Raw genomic sequence first — 17,453 nt, 5'->3', positions numbered from 1 at the left:
TGGGGTGGAGAGTTCTGTAGATGTCTATTAGGTCTGCTTGGTGCAGAGCTGAGTTCAATTCCTGGATATCCTTTTTAACTTTCTGTCTCGTTGATCTGCCTAATGTTGACAGTGGGGAGTTAAAGTCTCACATTATTTTTGTGTCGGAGTCTAAGTCTCTCTGTAGGTCTCTAAAGACTTGCTTTATGAATCTGGGTGCTCCTGTATTGGGTGCATATATATTTAGGATAGTTAGCTCTTCTTGTTGAATTGATCCCTTAACAATTTTGTAATGGCCTTCTTTGTCTCTTTTGATCTTTTGGTTTAAAGTCTGTTTTATCAGAGATTAGGATTGCAACCCCTGCCTTTTTTTGTTTTCTATTTGCTTGGTAAATCTTCCTCCATCCCTTTATTTTGAGCCTATGTGTGTCTCTGCATGTGAGATGAGTCTCCTGAATACAGCACACTGATGGGTCTTGACTCTTTATCCAATTTGCCAGTCTGTGTCTTTTAATTGGGGCATTTAGCCCATTTACATTTAAGGTTAATATTGTTATGTGTGAATTTGATCCTGTCATTATGATGTTAGCTGGTTATTTTGCTCATTAGTTGATGCAGTTTCTTCCTAGCATCGATGGTCTTTACAATTCGGCAAATTTTTGCAGTGGCTGGTACTGGTTGTTCCTTTCCATGTTTAGTGCTTCCTTCGGGAGCTCTTTTAGGGCAGGCCTGGTGGTGACAAAATCTCTCAACTTTTGCTTGTCTGTAAAGGATTTTATTTCTCCTTCACTTATGAAGCTTAGTTTGGCTGGATATGAAATTCTGGGTTGAAAATTCTTTTCTTTAAGAATGTTGAATATTGGCCCCTACTCTCTTCTGGCTTGTAGAGTTTCTTCTGAGAGATCCACTGTTTGTCTGATGGGCTTCCCTTTGTGGGTAACCCAACCTTTCTCTCTGGCTGCCCTCAACATTTTTTCCTTCATTTCAACTTTGTTGAATCTGACAATTATGTGTCTTGGAGTTGCTCTTCTCGAGGAGTATCTTTGTGGCATTCTCTGTATTTCCTGAATTTGAATGTTGGCCTGCCTTTCTAGGCTGGGGAAGTTCTCCTGGATAATATCCTGCAGAGTGTTTTCCAACTTGGTTCCATTCTCCTTGTCACTTTTAGGTACACCAATGAGACGTAGATTTGGTCTTTTCACATAGTCCCATATTTCTTGGAGGCTTTGTTCATTTAACGCTTTTTTCTCTAACTTCTCTTCTCGCTTCATTTCATTCATTTGATCTTCAATCACTGATACCCTTTCTTCCAGTTGATTGAATCGGCTACTGAAGCTTTTGCATTTGTCATGTAGTTCTCATGCCATGGTTTTCAGCTCCATCAGGTCATTTAAGGACTTCTCTACACTGGTTATTCTAGTAAGCCATTCATCTAATCTTTTTTCAAGGATTTTAGCTTCTTTGTGATGTGTTCAAACTTCCCCCAAAAGGCAGCAGAAACCTCGGCAGACTTAAATGTCCCTGTCTGACAGCTTTGAAGAGAGTAGTGGTTCTCCCAGCATGGAGTTTGAGATCTGAGAACAGACAGACTGCCTCCTCAAGTGGATCCCTGACCCCCGAGTAGCCTAACTGGGAGGCATCCCCCAGTAGGGGGAGACTGACACTCCACACAGCCGGGTACCCCTCTGAGACGAAGCTTCCAGAGGAACGATCAGGCAGCAACATTTGCTGTTCAGCAATATTTGCTGTTCTGCAGCCTCCTATGCTGATACCCAGGCAAATAGGGTCTGGAGTGGACCTCCAGCAAACTCCAACAGACCTGCAGCTGAGGGTCCTGATTGTTAGAAGGAAAGCTAACAAACTGAAAGGACCTCCACACCAAAACCCCATCTGTATGTCACCATCATCAAAGACCAAAGGTAGATAAAACCACAAAGATGGGGAAAAAACAGAGCAGAAAAGCTGAAAATTCCAAAAATCAGAGCGCTTCTCCCCCTCCAAAGGAATGCAGCTCCTCACCAGCAATGGAACAAAGCTGGACCGAGAATGACTTTAACGAGTTGCGAGAAGGCTTCAGACGATTATACTTCTCCAAGCCAAAGGAGGAAGTTATAACCTTGAGAATTTTCATGCCTTTTGACTGGCTTTCCTATAATTGCCTTTTGACTGGCTTTCCTATAATTGGTCCAGTTTTGTAAGATTTATCTTTGTAGTTATTCTGTATAATAGTGGTTCTCAAAGTGTAGTTCAGGGACCACCTTAGGTTCCTGAAATCTTTTTAAAGGATCCACCATACCAATATAGCTTTTATAATAATACTAAAACAGTATTTTCCTTTTTGATTCTCATTCTCCCATTACTGTATCATGGAGTTTTTCCAGAGGCTGCATGACATGATACAATAAGAGATTTAATATATAAACAGATATGAAAATCTCTGGGTTATTAAGCCAGACACTAAATCTATTCTTAAAAATATAGACCAGTTCCACTCTTAACAGTTATTTTTTTTGAAATATAGTTCTGTTTTATAATAGTGTGTAATTTCATGAAAATAAAATGGGTTTCTTATTGTTATTTTAAATAAATTAATGCATACTTTAAACTTTTTACACTTTGAATTTCTAGTATGGTAAATATTGAAAGAATATAATACACATAAATAAAAGATTTTAGGGGCCTCATAATTTTGAAGCAAATAAAGGAGTCCTCTGACCAAAAAGTTTGAGACCCTCTGCTAAACATCTCCATCAGATATAATTTTTATCATTTCTTTTTAAATATAACTATATGATTGTAAAGTAACACTTAGATTAGGAATGTTTTGGATAAACTTATAAGTTAGCAGTAATGACCTAAATGTATTTTTACATTTTTTATTTACTATGTTCCCATGTGACCATGGTTTAGTTATATATGGCTATGATTTTAGAGTACAAAAGTATCCAATATTGAATATACTGTCTACATAAAAAAGCATTCTTACTCATTAGCTAGAATTCCTGTGCTTAATGTAAGTTGCTTATGAGATTTAGGAATAATATATTTAACAAATTTCCTTCCCAATATCTTAGTTATAATAGTTCACAACACATATGCCTTTAAATAACTTCACTAATGTTACATTTTCAAAGACAAAATTTTGTTATACATGTTATGGATATGTATGTAGAGACACGAGTAAAAATTTACATGAACAGTTCTATGAGAGAAATAATAAAGAAGGAAGAGAATGCAATAGTTAGAATTGGGAGTAATCATCCCTAATAGCGATGTAAACAAAACAACTGTTCTCTCACATAAAAATCAAGAGATAGACAGTGCATTGCTGGTATAACAACTCTGCATCATAATGTTCTCAGAGTTCTTCACTCCTTCCATCCTGTTGCTCCAGCATACATGGCCTCTATTTTGCAGGTCCTCTTGTGGTCCACAATAGTTTCACCAGATCCAGTCATTATGCTTTCATTCTAACCTGCCAGAAAGAAGAGGAAATAAAGAAGAAGAGGTCACAGCTATTGTGTTTACTTTTGGAAAGTTCCTAGAAGCTGCCATGCAACACTCTGCTTATATCTGGTAGGCCCCACAAATTGGGCTCATAGCTACAAGAGGCTAAGAAATAAAGTCTCATTAAGATCATCCAAATGCCCAGCTAAAACATGAGTTTCCTTTATTATAGAATAAGATTGGAATGACTATTGAAGGACAATTTCAAACATTTGCCTGTACCTTTTCCAAAAACAGAACACAAAGCCTCTACCAAAGGGAGCAAACCTAAAAGCTTATGTCACTATAATAGTCAGAAAAAATTCCATCATTTCTGGTTGTGGCAGTAAGTGATGTTTGCCCTCTAATATCTATCATATCTCTCTTCCTCTCTAATAGCATCCCCAAATTTTAGCTGTCTGGATTAATTTGCATTTCTCAGCTTCTCTAGCAATTAAGTATTGGCATGTATATTAGTTTTCTATTACTACAAATTTGGTGGCTTAAAATGGGATAAATTCATTCCTTTATAGTTCCAGAAGACTAAAATTGGCTTTACTTGACTAAATCAAAGTGTTTACATGGCTGATGTTTTTCAAAGGGCAGAATCTGTTTTCTTGCCTAGTCTAGTTTCTGGAAGCTGCCTATATTCTGTGGCTTGTGACCCCTACCTCACATCACCCTAACCTCTTGCTTCTGTCATCTCATCTCTTACATACATCCTCTCTAATGTCCTGCCTCCCTCTTACAAAGACCCCTATTATTTTATCAGGCACACCACAATAATCAACTCATCTCAACATCCTTAATCACATCTGCAAATATCTTTTTGCCTATAAAGTGTTATGAGCTGAATGTGTCCCTTCAAAATTCATACGTTGAAATTCTAAACTTGTGTGGCTATATTTGGAGATGGGGACTCTAAAGAAGTAATTAAGGTTAAATGAGGTCATAAGGATGGGGTCCTGACCTGATAGGATTAAGAATCTCCCCCTCCCCCAACCCCATGTGCACATACTGAGGAAAGACTATATCAGGACATAGTGAGAAGGTTGTCATCGGCAAGCCAGTAACAGCCCTCATCAGAAGCTGAATCAGCTGGAACCTTTACCTTGGACTTCCAACTTTCAGACCTGTGAGAAAAAAAAGACTATGTTTTAAGCCAGTCAGTCTATGGAAGCCCTACCCAACTAATATATAAGGTGACATTCACAGGGTTCAGGGGATTAGGACATAGATGATTTGGCAGCCCTTTATTCAGCTCATCAAACCATGTCATGAAGGGAAGTATTTGGCAGATTCTGAGAAATGTCCCCAAAAGACAGTTGGCAATGGATTTTGTCTCTTCTTTCTGCCTTCCTTCATTCTGTGGCTTGGAACTTCATTTTAGACCATGAATGAGTGGAAACTTGGAAGTATCCTGGATAACAGAAAATTGCAGTTTTCATACCAGCCCTGGTCTTCTTACATTCAGATATTCATGTGAGATGGAAGTACTCCTATATTGAATAAGTCACTACTTGCAGCTAAACTTAATTCCAATCGTTATATTGGTAGATGTCCAGTCTGCTTCACTTAGACAAGATATAACTCATAGTCTAGCAACCTATAGCTAAATTATAAAATATTCACCTTATACATACCTAGCATATAAAGTGGCATAGAAACAGCATACCTATAATAAAACTCTAATTTGGAAAAGGGAAACACAGTTGTTTCTGCCCCCATAGCAGTTACCAAATCAGTCTGATAGGAATAGTAAACACTCTCTTCTTTTGAAATAGAGTAAACACATCTGGAAAAATCTCCTATATTTTCCCTGTGAAAACATCTTACCTGTTTATTCATATTTATGGCAACATCAGAATTAGGTATTAGGGAATTTGTTCCTCCTGAGTGTTGGAGTTTCATAGTCTTAATAGATTTAGGGGCCTGTGGGTTGCTATAGAGATTGAAGAACCACAGGTATTTTTAGGACAGACTTTTTTTTTTTGGTAATACATTTCATTCAAAAACTTAGTATGCTTCTGATTTATTTGATGTCAGTAGTTTCTATCCTTAAGCAAGTAGAAAGATCTTGTTTAGACATTGTTTATAATCCTGAAGCTTCTGATCTTTCACTTACTGGTTTTTGTTCTCTACTCATTTTCCTCTCTTCCAAATTAACGATAGTGACCATAGGTGAACTTTCTGAAACAATGGGTGTTGGAGGGAAGACAAAATTCTTAATCTCATCTTTCCTGCAGACATTTACACCTTTGTATATAAGTCTTATTTCTACTTTGAAGTCCCCTATTGTAACCGCTTCAATTTGAGGAACGAGATGTTGGTTTTTTCACCTACACAAGGCCCTGAATCACTAGAATCTCAGTAAGCTTAACTTGCAGACTTCAAAGAGTACCTGCCTTATCAAAAATTTTATTCTATTTCCATCTCTTATTTCAGCCTGGCTAGATATAACCCAGATTTTTTTTTCTCTCAAAAGACTTAAATAAAAGCTACAAGTAACATCTAAGACACACTCAATTACGGTATTTGTTTGAAAATTTCTGTAACACAACACACTCAGTCAGCATGTAGCCTGCCTTCCAAAGTGAAAATGTTTTGAAGCCATAATAACAAGGGTCACCAGCTCTTCAGCCTATAATATCTTGAGTCCTTATCACTGGTCACCCAATCTCCTGTACTAAGGTGGTGTCAAATGTTTTACATTTCTTTCATCTGTACCATCCCACTTCCAGCTACCATATTGCTATCAGTTTAAATTAGATTCAGCTATGTGTAATAAAGATCTAAAATGATACTAATATGTTTGTTCACCTCTCAGGTAAAACTCCAGAGGTATACAGTCTAGGACTGATATTATGGAACTATTTCACTCAGTACTTAGTGACTGACTGTTTTTATCTCATGCTTTTCTGAACATGACCTCCAGTCAAATAGTACCTCATGACCCAAAATGACTGCACTTACTCCACCCATCACATGCACACTCCAGCCATCAAGAAAGAGGAAGAGATAGAAAATAAAAGTGTGAGGGAACTTGCAGATGTGTTTTAAGTAAGGTTTCTAAATGATGCCACACAATATATCTTTGGCTAGATTTTGGTTTTATCATTACATTCAGCTGCAAGGAAGGCTGAAATATGTAGGCATTATTTTAAGCAGAAATGTGCCCAGACAAAAATCAGAGATTCTATTATGAAAACAAAGGTAAACGAATATTAAAGAACAAATATAAGTCTTTGCTGCAGAGTAGGTATGGAAAGCAATTGGCAAAGCAATAGAAAATAATCAAGAAGTAAAGAAAGTATTTAATGGAGGTAGAATGTTATAATAAAATATTATAAAATAAAATAGATACTTTCCACTTGAATTATTAAGACATTTATTTGCCTGAGACAGTTAAAGCAAAGCTAGGTTGCACTGATGTCAAAAATCTTGCTATAGGATGTTTGTTACTTTTTACTAATAAGCTTGTATTCTCTATGGTTCTTTTTCTCTTCTTTGAATTTCACTTGTTTTTGGTTTCTCTTTGATGCTTTCTGAAATTTTTTTCAATTACTCTTCCAGTTCACTAATTTTCTTGTTAGCTACGTTTAATCAATAAATTTTAATTTTTTGTTCTTTCCTGCAGATATATCAAAATTGTTCATTCTTTATTGAAAAATAATAAGCAGAGTAACTCTATAGTCTTTGTTCATGTTCATTTGATACCTCAGGTCTTGTGTACTGCTCATTGTATTTGAAATATCAATTGTGAAAATTTTAGGCCTTAGAATGAAGGTACTTTCCTCCAGATAGTGTTTCCATTTTCTACCACTAGAAACTGAATCACCACCAATATTTGACCATGACACAATTTAAATCTCGAGATTTTATGGATTATTCAGGTATCATTTTAATTTACAGCCTGTTTTATTCCATGTTTACTTGTATCATGCTGTAGCTGTGTGAGTTTCCAGCTCACTATGGACAGGACCTTCTACTTTGGTGAACATGGGATTTGATTTTTGATTCCTGATCTCCTTGAGCCACCAAAGTTATTCCTGATCTGCAAATTTTATCAGAACAAAAGCATCTTTGAGGACTTACCTTTGGGGGATCTTGCCTTCTCTTAAATTTTGACCTGATAAGTCCTAGCTTTCTTGGTAGCTCTTTCCTAATTTTCAAAAGACTTTTAATTTTTTTATTTTGATTTATGTATTTACTTATTCTTTTTGAGATAGTGTCTCACTCTGTTTGTTGCCCAGGCTGGAGTGAAGTAACACATTCATGGCTCACTCCAATCTTGACCTCCTGGACTCAAGCAGTCCTTCCACTTCAACCTCTCTAGTAGTTGGTAATACAGGCACACACTCCCACACCCAGCTAAGTTAAATTTTATTATTATACTTTTTTTTTAGAGACAAGGTTGTTGCCCAGGCTGGTCTTGAAATCCTGGGCTCAAGCAGTCCTCCTACATTGGCCTTTCAAAGTGCTGGGATTACAGATGTGAGCCACCATGCCTGGCCTAAACAAATCTTTCATAAGGCTTTTTGAAACTTGAGAATTAGTCCAAATTTATATTTTACCAGTCCTGGTTATGGATGTCTCTACTCTCCAAATTTTATTTTCATTACTAAGTATTTCTGGTACAGTCTTCTTTTGACCTGATAATCATTATCTCTTTTTAGCTGTATTTTAAATACTAAATCTGATGTACTTTGTGTTGATTTTATAATTTATTTTTAAGTTTTAAAGTTCTCTCATAGTTTTCTCATCTTCCTAGCACTTCAGTTTTAAAAAAAAAACTATTTTGTAGATTTTTTATTCCATTCTGACTAGTCTATCTTGAATCCTGATTTATTATAATTCTGTAGATGCCATCAAATAATTTATATTTGGATCCCCAAAGACAGAAAATGCATAAGATCCTATTACCAAGTTTAAATGAAAGTTCTGGAAGTGTTATAGCTAGTAATTAATGATAAATATGTTGTTTTCTGCATTTTAGTTATTTTGAGCTTCAGTTTTATCAAACAGTAAAAACATAGTAAAATTCATATTTACTTGGCTTCTTTTTACATTCTTGAGTTACCACTAGAAATAGTAAAAAGTGTTACAGTTTTTGAAAATGTGAATCCTAAATTGCCTGAAAAATTATAATAATTTTCTCAGGTCTCTTGCTATTATGTTAATTATCTTTGGTATCTCACATTGTTTACATTTTGTTATAATTTTGAGAAACACTACTGAAGCTACATTGCCAACTTCACCATTTTTAAAAACATCTTTACTGAGATGTAATTCACATACCATTAAAATAAAACATTTTAAGTGTCCAGTCCAGTTGTTTTTAGTATATTCACAAATTTGTGAAACGATCATCACTAATTAAATAAAATTTTCATTATTCCCCAGAAGAAACCCCATACCCATTAGAAATTCTCTCTACAGCCCCTGGGAACATTAATCTATTTTCTCTCTCCATTAATTTGTCTATTCTTGGCATTTAATATAAGCGGAATCATGCATATATGTTATTTTATGTCTGGCTACTTCCACTTAGTATAATGTTTTCAAGAGTCATCCATGTTGAAACACTTTTTTTCACTGCCCAAATCTCATGTCAAACATGTTGTAACATTTATCAACAATTCATTTATTTTTTATGGCTCAATAATATTCCATTGTATGGATATGCCACATTTTGTTTTTCCATTCATTCGTTGAGTTCCTTCTAATTTATGGATATTTTTAACTATGCTGCTCTAAACATCCATGTACAAATTGCTGAATGAATATATGTTTTTAGTTTTCTTGGGTATACCTAAAAGTGAAATTACTGGATGATATGGTAATTCTACACTTGACTTTTTGAGAAACTGCCGAACAGTTTTCCATAGCAGTTGTACCATTTTGCATTCACATGATAAATGCATGAGAGTTACAATTTCTCCAAAACCCAACCAATACTTGTTATTTTATGTCTTTATGATTATAACTGTTCTACAGGATACAAAGTAATCTCATGGTGGTTTTAATTTGCATTCCCCTAGCAGTTGATGATGCCAGCATCTTTTTGTGTATTTATTGTCCCTTTATATATCTTCTATGGAGAACTGTCTATTTAAATCCTTTGATCATTTTATAATAGATTATCTTTTTATTATTGAGTTGTGAGAATTCTTTACATATTCTTGATACAAATCTTTTATCACATATATAATTTGTGAGTTATTTTCTCATTATGTGGGTTGTCTTTTCACTTTCTCAATGGTATTCTTTAAATCCCAGATGCTTTTTATTTTGGTAAACTTACATTTATATTTTTTTCTTGTTGCCTTTATTTTTTGTGTCATATCTAAGAAACCATTCTTTCACTTGAGGCCTCAAAGATTTTTTTTCTATGTTTTCTTCTAAGCGTTTATAGTATTAGCTCTTATATTTAGACCTATAATCTATCATGAGCTAATTTTCATGTGGTGTGAGGTAAAGGTTTGACTTTATTATTTTACATATAGATATCCACTTGTCCCACTACCATTTGTTGAGAAAAATTTCTTATCTCTATTGAATTATCTTGGTACTGTTGTCAGAATTCAATTGACTATATTGAAGGATTTATTCCTGGACTCTAAGTTCTATTTTATTGATACGTATGTCTGTATATATAATTTTGGCATTGAATAATTTATATTATTTAAAAGGTATGCTACTACTGAAGGACAAAAAATCTTAAGAATCTTCAATGGTATAGTTTGTTATTGTTTTATGCTTAATATTTAAATCTATTATCCTAAAATGTAAGCATTTTATGTCATTATAATAAATTTCAGAAATTAACATGCAAATAATTCCTCCCATGTGTATGAATGTTGTGTTATTTTCTCTGAAAAAACTTACGAAATGTTTGTAATTTTTAGACTCATAATGGATAGAAATCTATGTGGAGAGTTAGTTTCTGAGAGTTGACATATGGAAAGAATATTCAAATATCTGAGAGACAATTGTTTTTTTTTGTTTTGTTTTTTTGTTTGTTTGTTTGATGGAGTCTCACTCTGTTGCCGAGGCTGGAGTGCAGTGGCGCAATCTCCACTCACTGTAACTTCTGCCTCCTGGGTTCAAGCAATTCTTCTGCCTCAGCCTCCCAAGTAGCTGGGACTACAGGCGCCATCACACCCAGCTAATGTTTGTATTTTTAGTAGAGACAGGGTTTCACCGTATTGGCCAGGCTGGTCTTGAACTCCTGACCTCATGATCCACCTGCCTCAGCCTCCCAAGGTGCTGAGATTACAGCTGTGAGCCACGGCCCCCAGCCTGATGACTTTTTTACCTATAGAAATACTGATTTATCCCACTGTTCGGCCACACAGTATAATGCAAATATGATGGTCTTTATAATTAAAAAATCAGTTTTGCTCATATACTTAAAGGTCCGTAGATAGGTACTCACACAAATTTATAGATATAAGTATCAATACAGATATCAACACAGATTGTTTTTACATAAGTACTAAAGATTAGCTAAAAATTTCACATTCTATGCTCTTATGTGCCTTTTTCACCTCAACATGCAATGGGATAATTAAAGAGGGTAGATTTTTTTTTATGAAATAGCATTTTAGATGAGGTAATAGAGGAATACAGATGAAATAGAGACCAATACGTTTATATAATTAAACACCAACTCTGTGGTGGATCATTGAAAAAAATGAAAGCCAAAAAGTAAAAAAAAAAAAAAAAAAAAAAAAAAGATAAAATTTTAAATAATACTATTCAGAAGAACAGAGGAAGGAAAATGCTAACTAAGAAAACTATATGATCAAAACTGTGGAAGTGAGAATTAGCTTGGCAAATGTGTTAATGGAAAGGAAATTATCTTAAACATAGAGATGTATGAGACAAAATGTGGAAACAAGTGGATAGGGCTGTTAATGAACATTTTAATTTCACCTGAGCACTCAAAATGATTATTTGGCAATAAAAGTTCTCTCTATATATTTTAATACCATATGTGGAGTTGTGGAGTTATATGCATAATATTTATCAAAATACTTTGAGTAAACAAGTTACATTTATTATTTAATCTTCCATATAAGCAACCAAATGTTAGGATTGCTATTTAATTGTAATTAAGATATGAAGGAAAGAGTAAAGAGTAAGTTCTTACACCTGTCAGCCTAAAGTTTTGTAGGTGGTGAAATGTTACAGATGACAAGATAGTGTAGAAAACTTCCTAGAGCCTAGATAAAAGAGCATAATAGGATTATAGATTACAGGAGTTTATGGGTGTTTTGGCTTACTGTTTAATTGTTTTTTGTTGTCTGTTCACCATTCTCTTTAGTCTTTTGTCCATTATTACCTGTTTGCCTCATGTTTTCCTAATGTAAATTAAGTATTATTTACTCTTTTACATCTGCCTAACTCATGTTCCCAGTTTCTTTAAGATGCTTTCCAATGAGCTCAATCTTTTGATAACTTTTAGAGCTTTTAGCCTATTACTCATATTAAAACTTAAACATACACTTTATCTTGAGATTCACAGGTGATGGTATATTAATTAAAACACAATAGGTTAAACTAAGGAAGAATTTGGACTGGGCTAGTATGACAGTACAGGAGACAGAATGGTTATAGCACTAGGAATTAGAAAAAGAGAATCAGTCTGGTATCCAGTGAGTACTGTAAGCTCTATTCATTGTCCACATGGCAAGAAAGAGTTGAGCAACTGTCATGAAGCATTTAGCAACATTGAAATTGGACCAGGTTAAGATTAAAAGTCGGTTAATGGAATCTGTCATCAGGTATCAAATCCCAGACACCATGCTGAAGTATTGTCTTAAGAAGAAAACTCGGACTAAAGACTGGATAGGTAGAATAGAGGCTTAGGAAATGGCTCAAGGCAGATGTCAAGTTTGAAGAAACTGGGAAACATTGCAAAGGCAGAAAGGGGTGATGAAGTCTCAAAATGAGGTAAAAACCTAACTACCAGCATTATATGTTAGGCTGTTCACAAAGATAAATTTATCAAGAGTTCTAAATTTTGGCCTGAAGACACTTAAATAGCTCCTGTCACAGGTACTAGAACTGGAAAGAGAGTGGGGTCTCTGTTTGTTGATTTAGTAGCTCCGAAGGATGGAGAGGGTGATTACAGAGATGGAGCATTATTTCTACCAGCAGCTTTTTTCTCAGAAGCAAACCATGGCTGCATATTGTGAGAGATTCCATTATTAGAATTGTGTGTTAGAATTAACTGTGTTTGATCTTAGTGCCTATGTATCAATCAGTCAATTATTGAGAGCAAAGTCTTTTTCACAGATAGGTCTGACATAAAAAGCATCACTATATGTCCTTCTCTGCTTCACCTCCATTCCAGCACACTGCCTTCTTTCTACAATTATGCTATCTTAAAGTAGGCACTAAAAGCCTTTGTTCATTTGCCTTAAATTAAATTCTGGGCTCCCAGGCTAAAACCTCCTTCCTGGTAACTACTTCAATTTATTTTGGAATAATTTATTCCAAGATTGTACCTCTTTATCTTTTCCCTCTTCACTTCAACTTGCAATGGTAAATAAAATAACATAGTCTCTGATGTCATCCAGAATGAAGATTCATTCTCTTTTAGTAAAGATCACTTTTAGTATTAGGGGAAATTAGTCTCTCTCTGATGTTATTCAGGTTTGTTTATGTCTTTATTTAAATTTATTTATATTCGACCTCCTTTTAAGGTGACTATTCTATATGAACATTTTTACACTAAAAATATTAGCCATTTTATGGCAGGTTGTGTTTTATTTTTTTTTTTTTTTTTGCCACCATGTACTTAGCATAGTGATACGCACATAGGATGCACTCAAAAAATATTTATTTATTTAAAATAGTATCTGTTGCATTTAAAAAGCAGAATCCAAATTCTATTTATATTGTTTTGAGTTACAACTTATAAATCACATAATCATTTTCATATATTTTGTGAAAACATTATTCTACTGCCCTAATATAAAATAATAGCTGACAGAATCTGCTTATCATTGTGATATTTGTATGTGGGTGGGAAGATTGAAGGGAATCATTGAAAGAAAATACATTAACATTATAAGATGCAAGTCAAAGAATAAAACATAAAGTTATGAGCTATAGAAATAAAACTGATTTTCTTGACAGTCCTGTTATAGTAGAACTTGGAATACCCTTCAAAGATAGATAAAGTAAGGGGGTTACCAGTACCGTGGTCATTATAATGAAATTCATTATTCTGGAAATTCTATAGGCTGATGATATTAACAGACCAAAAATAAATCACATAGATAAATTAATGAATAGTAGATTCTTAAGGGTTATTAAAGAAAATTAAAATGTTTTGGTGGATAAACAACTTTTTACGGCATATTCCTTTTTACTACTATTAAAGGTAAAATACTTGGTATATATGACAATTAGTCTGCCTCAGTATGCCAAGTCATTTTCCCCTTAATTCTTAGAATTCTGGTATTATCTTGATAATACTACTAGAGAGACAGCATTGGAGTTTTACATAAGATCTGCACTTTTTGTCTTTCTGTGGGAAATAAATATATATTCTCAACTGCTAAATATTTATCAGAAATGCATACACTCGTTTCACAAGAAAAATATTTGGGGACAGTAGAGATAGAAGAAAATAATTAAAAAGTATGTCTGTCCTTTTGAATTTTAACTTTTGAGCTCATTGAAATGTGAAAATTCACATGTTTAGGTTTCTTGCTATCATTTGGAGAGCCAAGATTATTAGAATTCATGAGCACCTAAAAGCAAATCTTGAGCTCACTGTCCTCCAGGCAAAATGTAATGTTTGCTGATTATTGTTAACTAATGGTACACCTCAAGAGTTTAACTGATTTTTTCCATCTTTAAACTTTATTACTGTATTTTTCTTCAGGATAAAAAAAAATTATGGGTCAATTTTCACTGAAGTGGGCTGGATGTGTGTATTCATCTCTCATCAGTGCCAAAAGGAATTATGCACATCATTCATTGGACAACAGGATGAAAACTTGTCTCTGATTGGACACTAGGGATATCAGCTGTACACACAAGATAAGTGTAAAGTTGAAAAGAGAAATACACTTAGTAATTCACTCAAGCTAGCATTTATTAACACTTTAAAACTTGCATTAAAATGTTCATGATATTATTTCCTTCCTCATATAAGAAAGCTAACATTACAATTCTTAAATTGAATGAAACATACCATCATAAAAATTGCTTTGCAGAGACTGCTAATGCAAAAACTTTTAAGCTGTTCATCCTTTTTTAATGAAAAAGATAATAAGATCAATAAAAGCACCATTCTTTACCACTTACTTAGAATGAATTTTTATTTGTTCAATGTAAGAGAGATTGGCTATTTCAATGTGTTTCAATATTGGTATAAGCTTTAAATGACAAAGATTTGTGTTTTATGACTTACCTATACATCAACAGCACTGAATTTTCTCAAAACTTATTTAGGCAGCATGACTTGGAAGGAAAATATTAACTATTGAATCACACTGATGCTCTCTGGTCTAGTTAAGATAGTTTTTTAGATACTCCATATAAGCCTGGGTTTTGCTGACAAAATTCACCTACAAAGCCCAGAGAGACTTACAGTCACTTGCAGGCATTTCTTTATATTAAGGCCTTTAAAAATAAAATATACAAGATTCTGACAACACTTGCCTTAATTGCTTAAGAACTTAAAATAAGCTTGTTGGTAGAAATGGTTTGCCAACTAGGGCAGTTTTGAGTCACCTTATCCAGTCCCCGGAATATTGGAGTCTTGTAAATAATTAACATTTGGGCAGTGGCTGAAATATTTCTGACCAGAGCAGTAGGCATAAAGTTATTAAGCAAGCTATGCTGAATACAATGTGGAGTGAAACAGACTAAGATTTGTACTGAGGCTGTAGAATTTTCAGGCTGCCTACCTTGGGTGAGTGATAGCAGTTTACTGAGACTGAGCCTCAGGAGATATATATGTACATACATAAGCACGTGTGTTTGTGTGTGTGTATTTTCTGCCTTGTTATATAATCCATCATTTGATAAAAAGAGTCCCTGAAGTTTTAGAGATACATGTGGCATTTGGCGGAGAAGAAACATAACTATACTTCATATGAGACAGTCATTTTAGGCTTCAGTATTGTAATAAAAACTTACATGAAGTAACACTTAAGAAATATTCTGAAATCCTAAAATGAATATATTGTTCCAAGTTGCAGGGGGATAAAACCTCAATTTTAGAAAATATTATTCAAGTAATTGTTATTGAGTCAATTTCATAATTTATCAATATGTGTTTATAAAGTACATGCAAGTAGATTGTAATATGCCTTACTTTAGAGATATAATTATATATATATAGCTACTTTGTTAATAGGAGACATTTTTCTCATGAAAAAATATAAATCCCTCCTCAGATTCAAACTCAAACTTAAAACACATAAATTCTAAATTGCTGGATTACTTAAGGTGTTTAGGTAAAGTAAGAGCAAACTAATCAGTAATAAAATATTGGCAAGTCCCCGTTTGTGGCTTTTTTCTAAATCTTTCATAAATATAGACATTGTTCAAATATACTTAGAAATATAGAGTCTTGAGCTATGTATTTTATTGTTAAGAAAAAAGAATTTCCCTCTTGAAAATTCCATTTTATTGCCCATCATTAAATTTTACATGACCCTATGAACTTTTCAGAATTGCAAATTACTTAAGCAGTGTAAACTCATATTACTCATATACGTATGTCTCTTTCATTAAAATGATTAGATTTATAAATTGAAAATATTATCGTAACTAATTGGCCTAAAACATGAGGTTTAATAAAATGCAGATTTTAATCAGGAGCTTAAGAATTTAGCCTATGCTTTCTACTATGTTTTTCTCACTTTCAATGCCTTTTTTTCTTGTTTTCACATCTACATAGGGAAATAATCAGTAAATTATGAAATATTTTGAAAAAGACATAATTTAAATATTTACTAATAATAACTTTGTGCCTATGTTTAATATTATGCCATGGATATAGCTGCCATTCAATACATAGTTGTTGAATAAACTAATCAAATTTATTATCCTTTTTTGTTGTTTGTGACTTGATAATACAACAGATTGAAGAATACAATCAAACTGGTGCGGAAATATCAAGATAAGTAAACCACAACCTCAGTCCTCAGAGAGAGTAATTTTTACTAGGGGTGAGCAATGGACATAACTATGATATAAAGTAGAATGCAACGAATGCTTTGAAGGCTATAAACAATGATATTAATTATTTAAGGGAGAGTTATACTCTGTTTAAAATGAGATCTTTAGATAAAGATATAGAATTATTTTTAATCATTACTAATAATATGTTAGCTACTAGATAATGTAATCCACGTACTAGAAAAATAGGGTTGTGAATAGAATTGTATTGAAACGTAAACAAAAATTAATCAAATACATTTTTGGAGAGATTTTCAAATAAAATGAAAACTATATATTCTGAAATTTCCCCATGTCCTTTCTTTTACTTATTCCACCTAGTATCAATTACTACAATACACAAACTAGCATTGTTTTTTTCCTCAATTTGAAACTATAACCTGCTCTAAAATCTCATGGAAGTTTGCAACATCTCTTTTTCACTGGGTTCTACAAAGGCTACTACCAAGTGCCCACTGTAGTGTAGCTAAGAGTAGGCATCATTAATTTACACATTGGTGCCTCCAATCTTAGTAAAGATAGACCTTAGACTATTAGACCATTCTTGAACTGAGGGAACATAAGCTTTCTATTATCTTTTTTGTCATGTGTTCTTAAACTGGACACTTGCAGCATAATATAATATTCAGGTGCCCTCATTTCTTGGCTAAGTTGTGTGTAGAAGAGAAATGTCACATTTCTTTTATTTATACTATATGTTTCCTGTGTTTATTTATCCAGGCTATTCTTTTTGGATTCTCTCCTGCGTATCAAGGGTATTATCACTTCTAGTTCAC

At 33.7% G+C, this 17,453-nt stretch overlaps 1 protein-coding gene across 9 annotated transcripts in view; it reads left to right on the top strand.

Moving 5' to 3' along the window:
- Positions 1-17,453, top strand: part of LRRIQ3 (leucine rich repeats and IQ motif containing 3) — a 172,162-nt gene that overhangs the window by 99,592 nt on the left and 55,117 nt on the right. For 2 of the 9 annotated variants that reach the window (XM_047445383.1, XM_047445373.1), the window contains exon 1: positions 14,703-16,667. The exons of 3 other annotated variants lie outside the window; for them this stretch is intronic. Coding sequence is in view for 4 of the 6 variants with exons in the window: in XM_047445380.1 (XP_047301336.1) it covers positions 3,462-3,524 (63 nt within the window). In the remaining 2 variants the exon portion in view is untranslated. Of the gene's footprint in view, positions 1-3,396; positions 3,638-14,368; positions 16,668-17,453 lie in introns of those variants that run through there. 4 more of the 9 variants (XM_047445380.1, XM_047445386.1, XM_017000287.3 and 1 more) reach the window with 4 other exon arrangements.

Source organism: Homo sapiens, chromosome 1 (genome assembly GCF_000001405.40).
Source record: "Homo sapiens chromosome 1, GRCh38.p14 Primary Assembly".
Taxonomy (NCBI): Eukaryota; Metazoa; Chordata; class Mammalia; order Primates; family Hominidae; genus Homo; species Homo sapiens.
The sequence above is the reverse complement of the archived record's forward strand: the minus strand, read 5'-3'. Positions and strand labels throughout refer to the sequence as shown.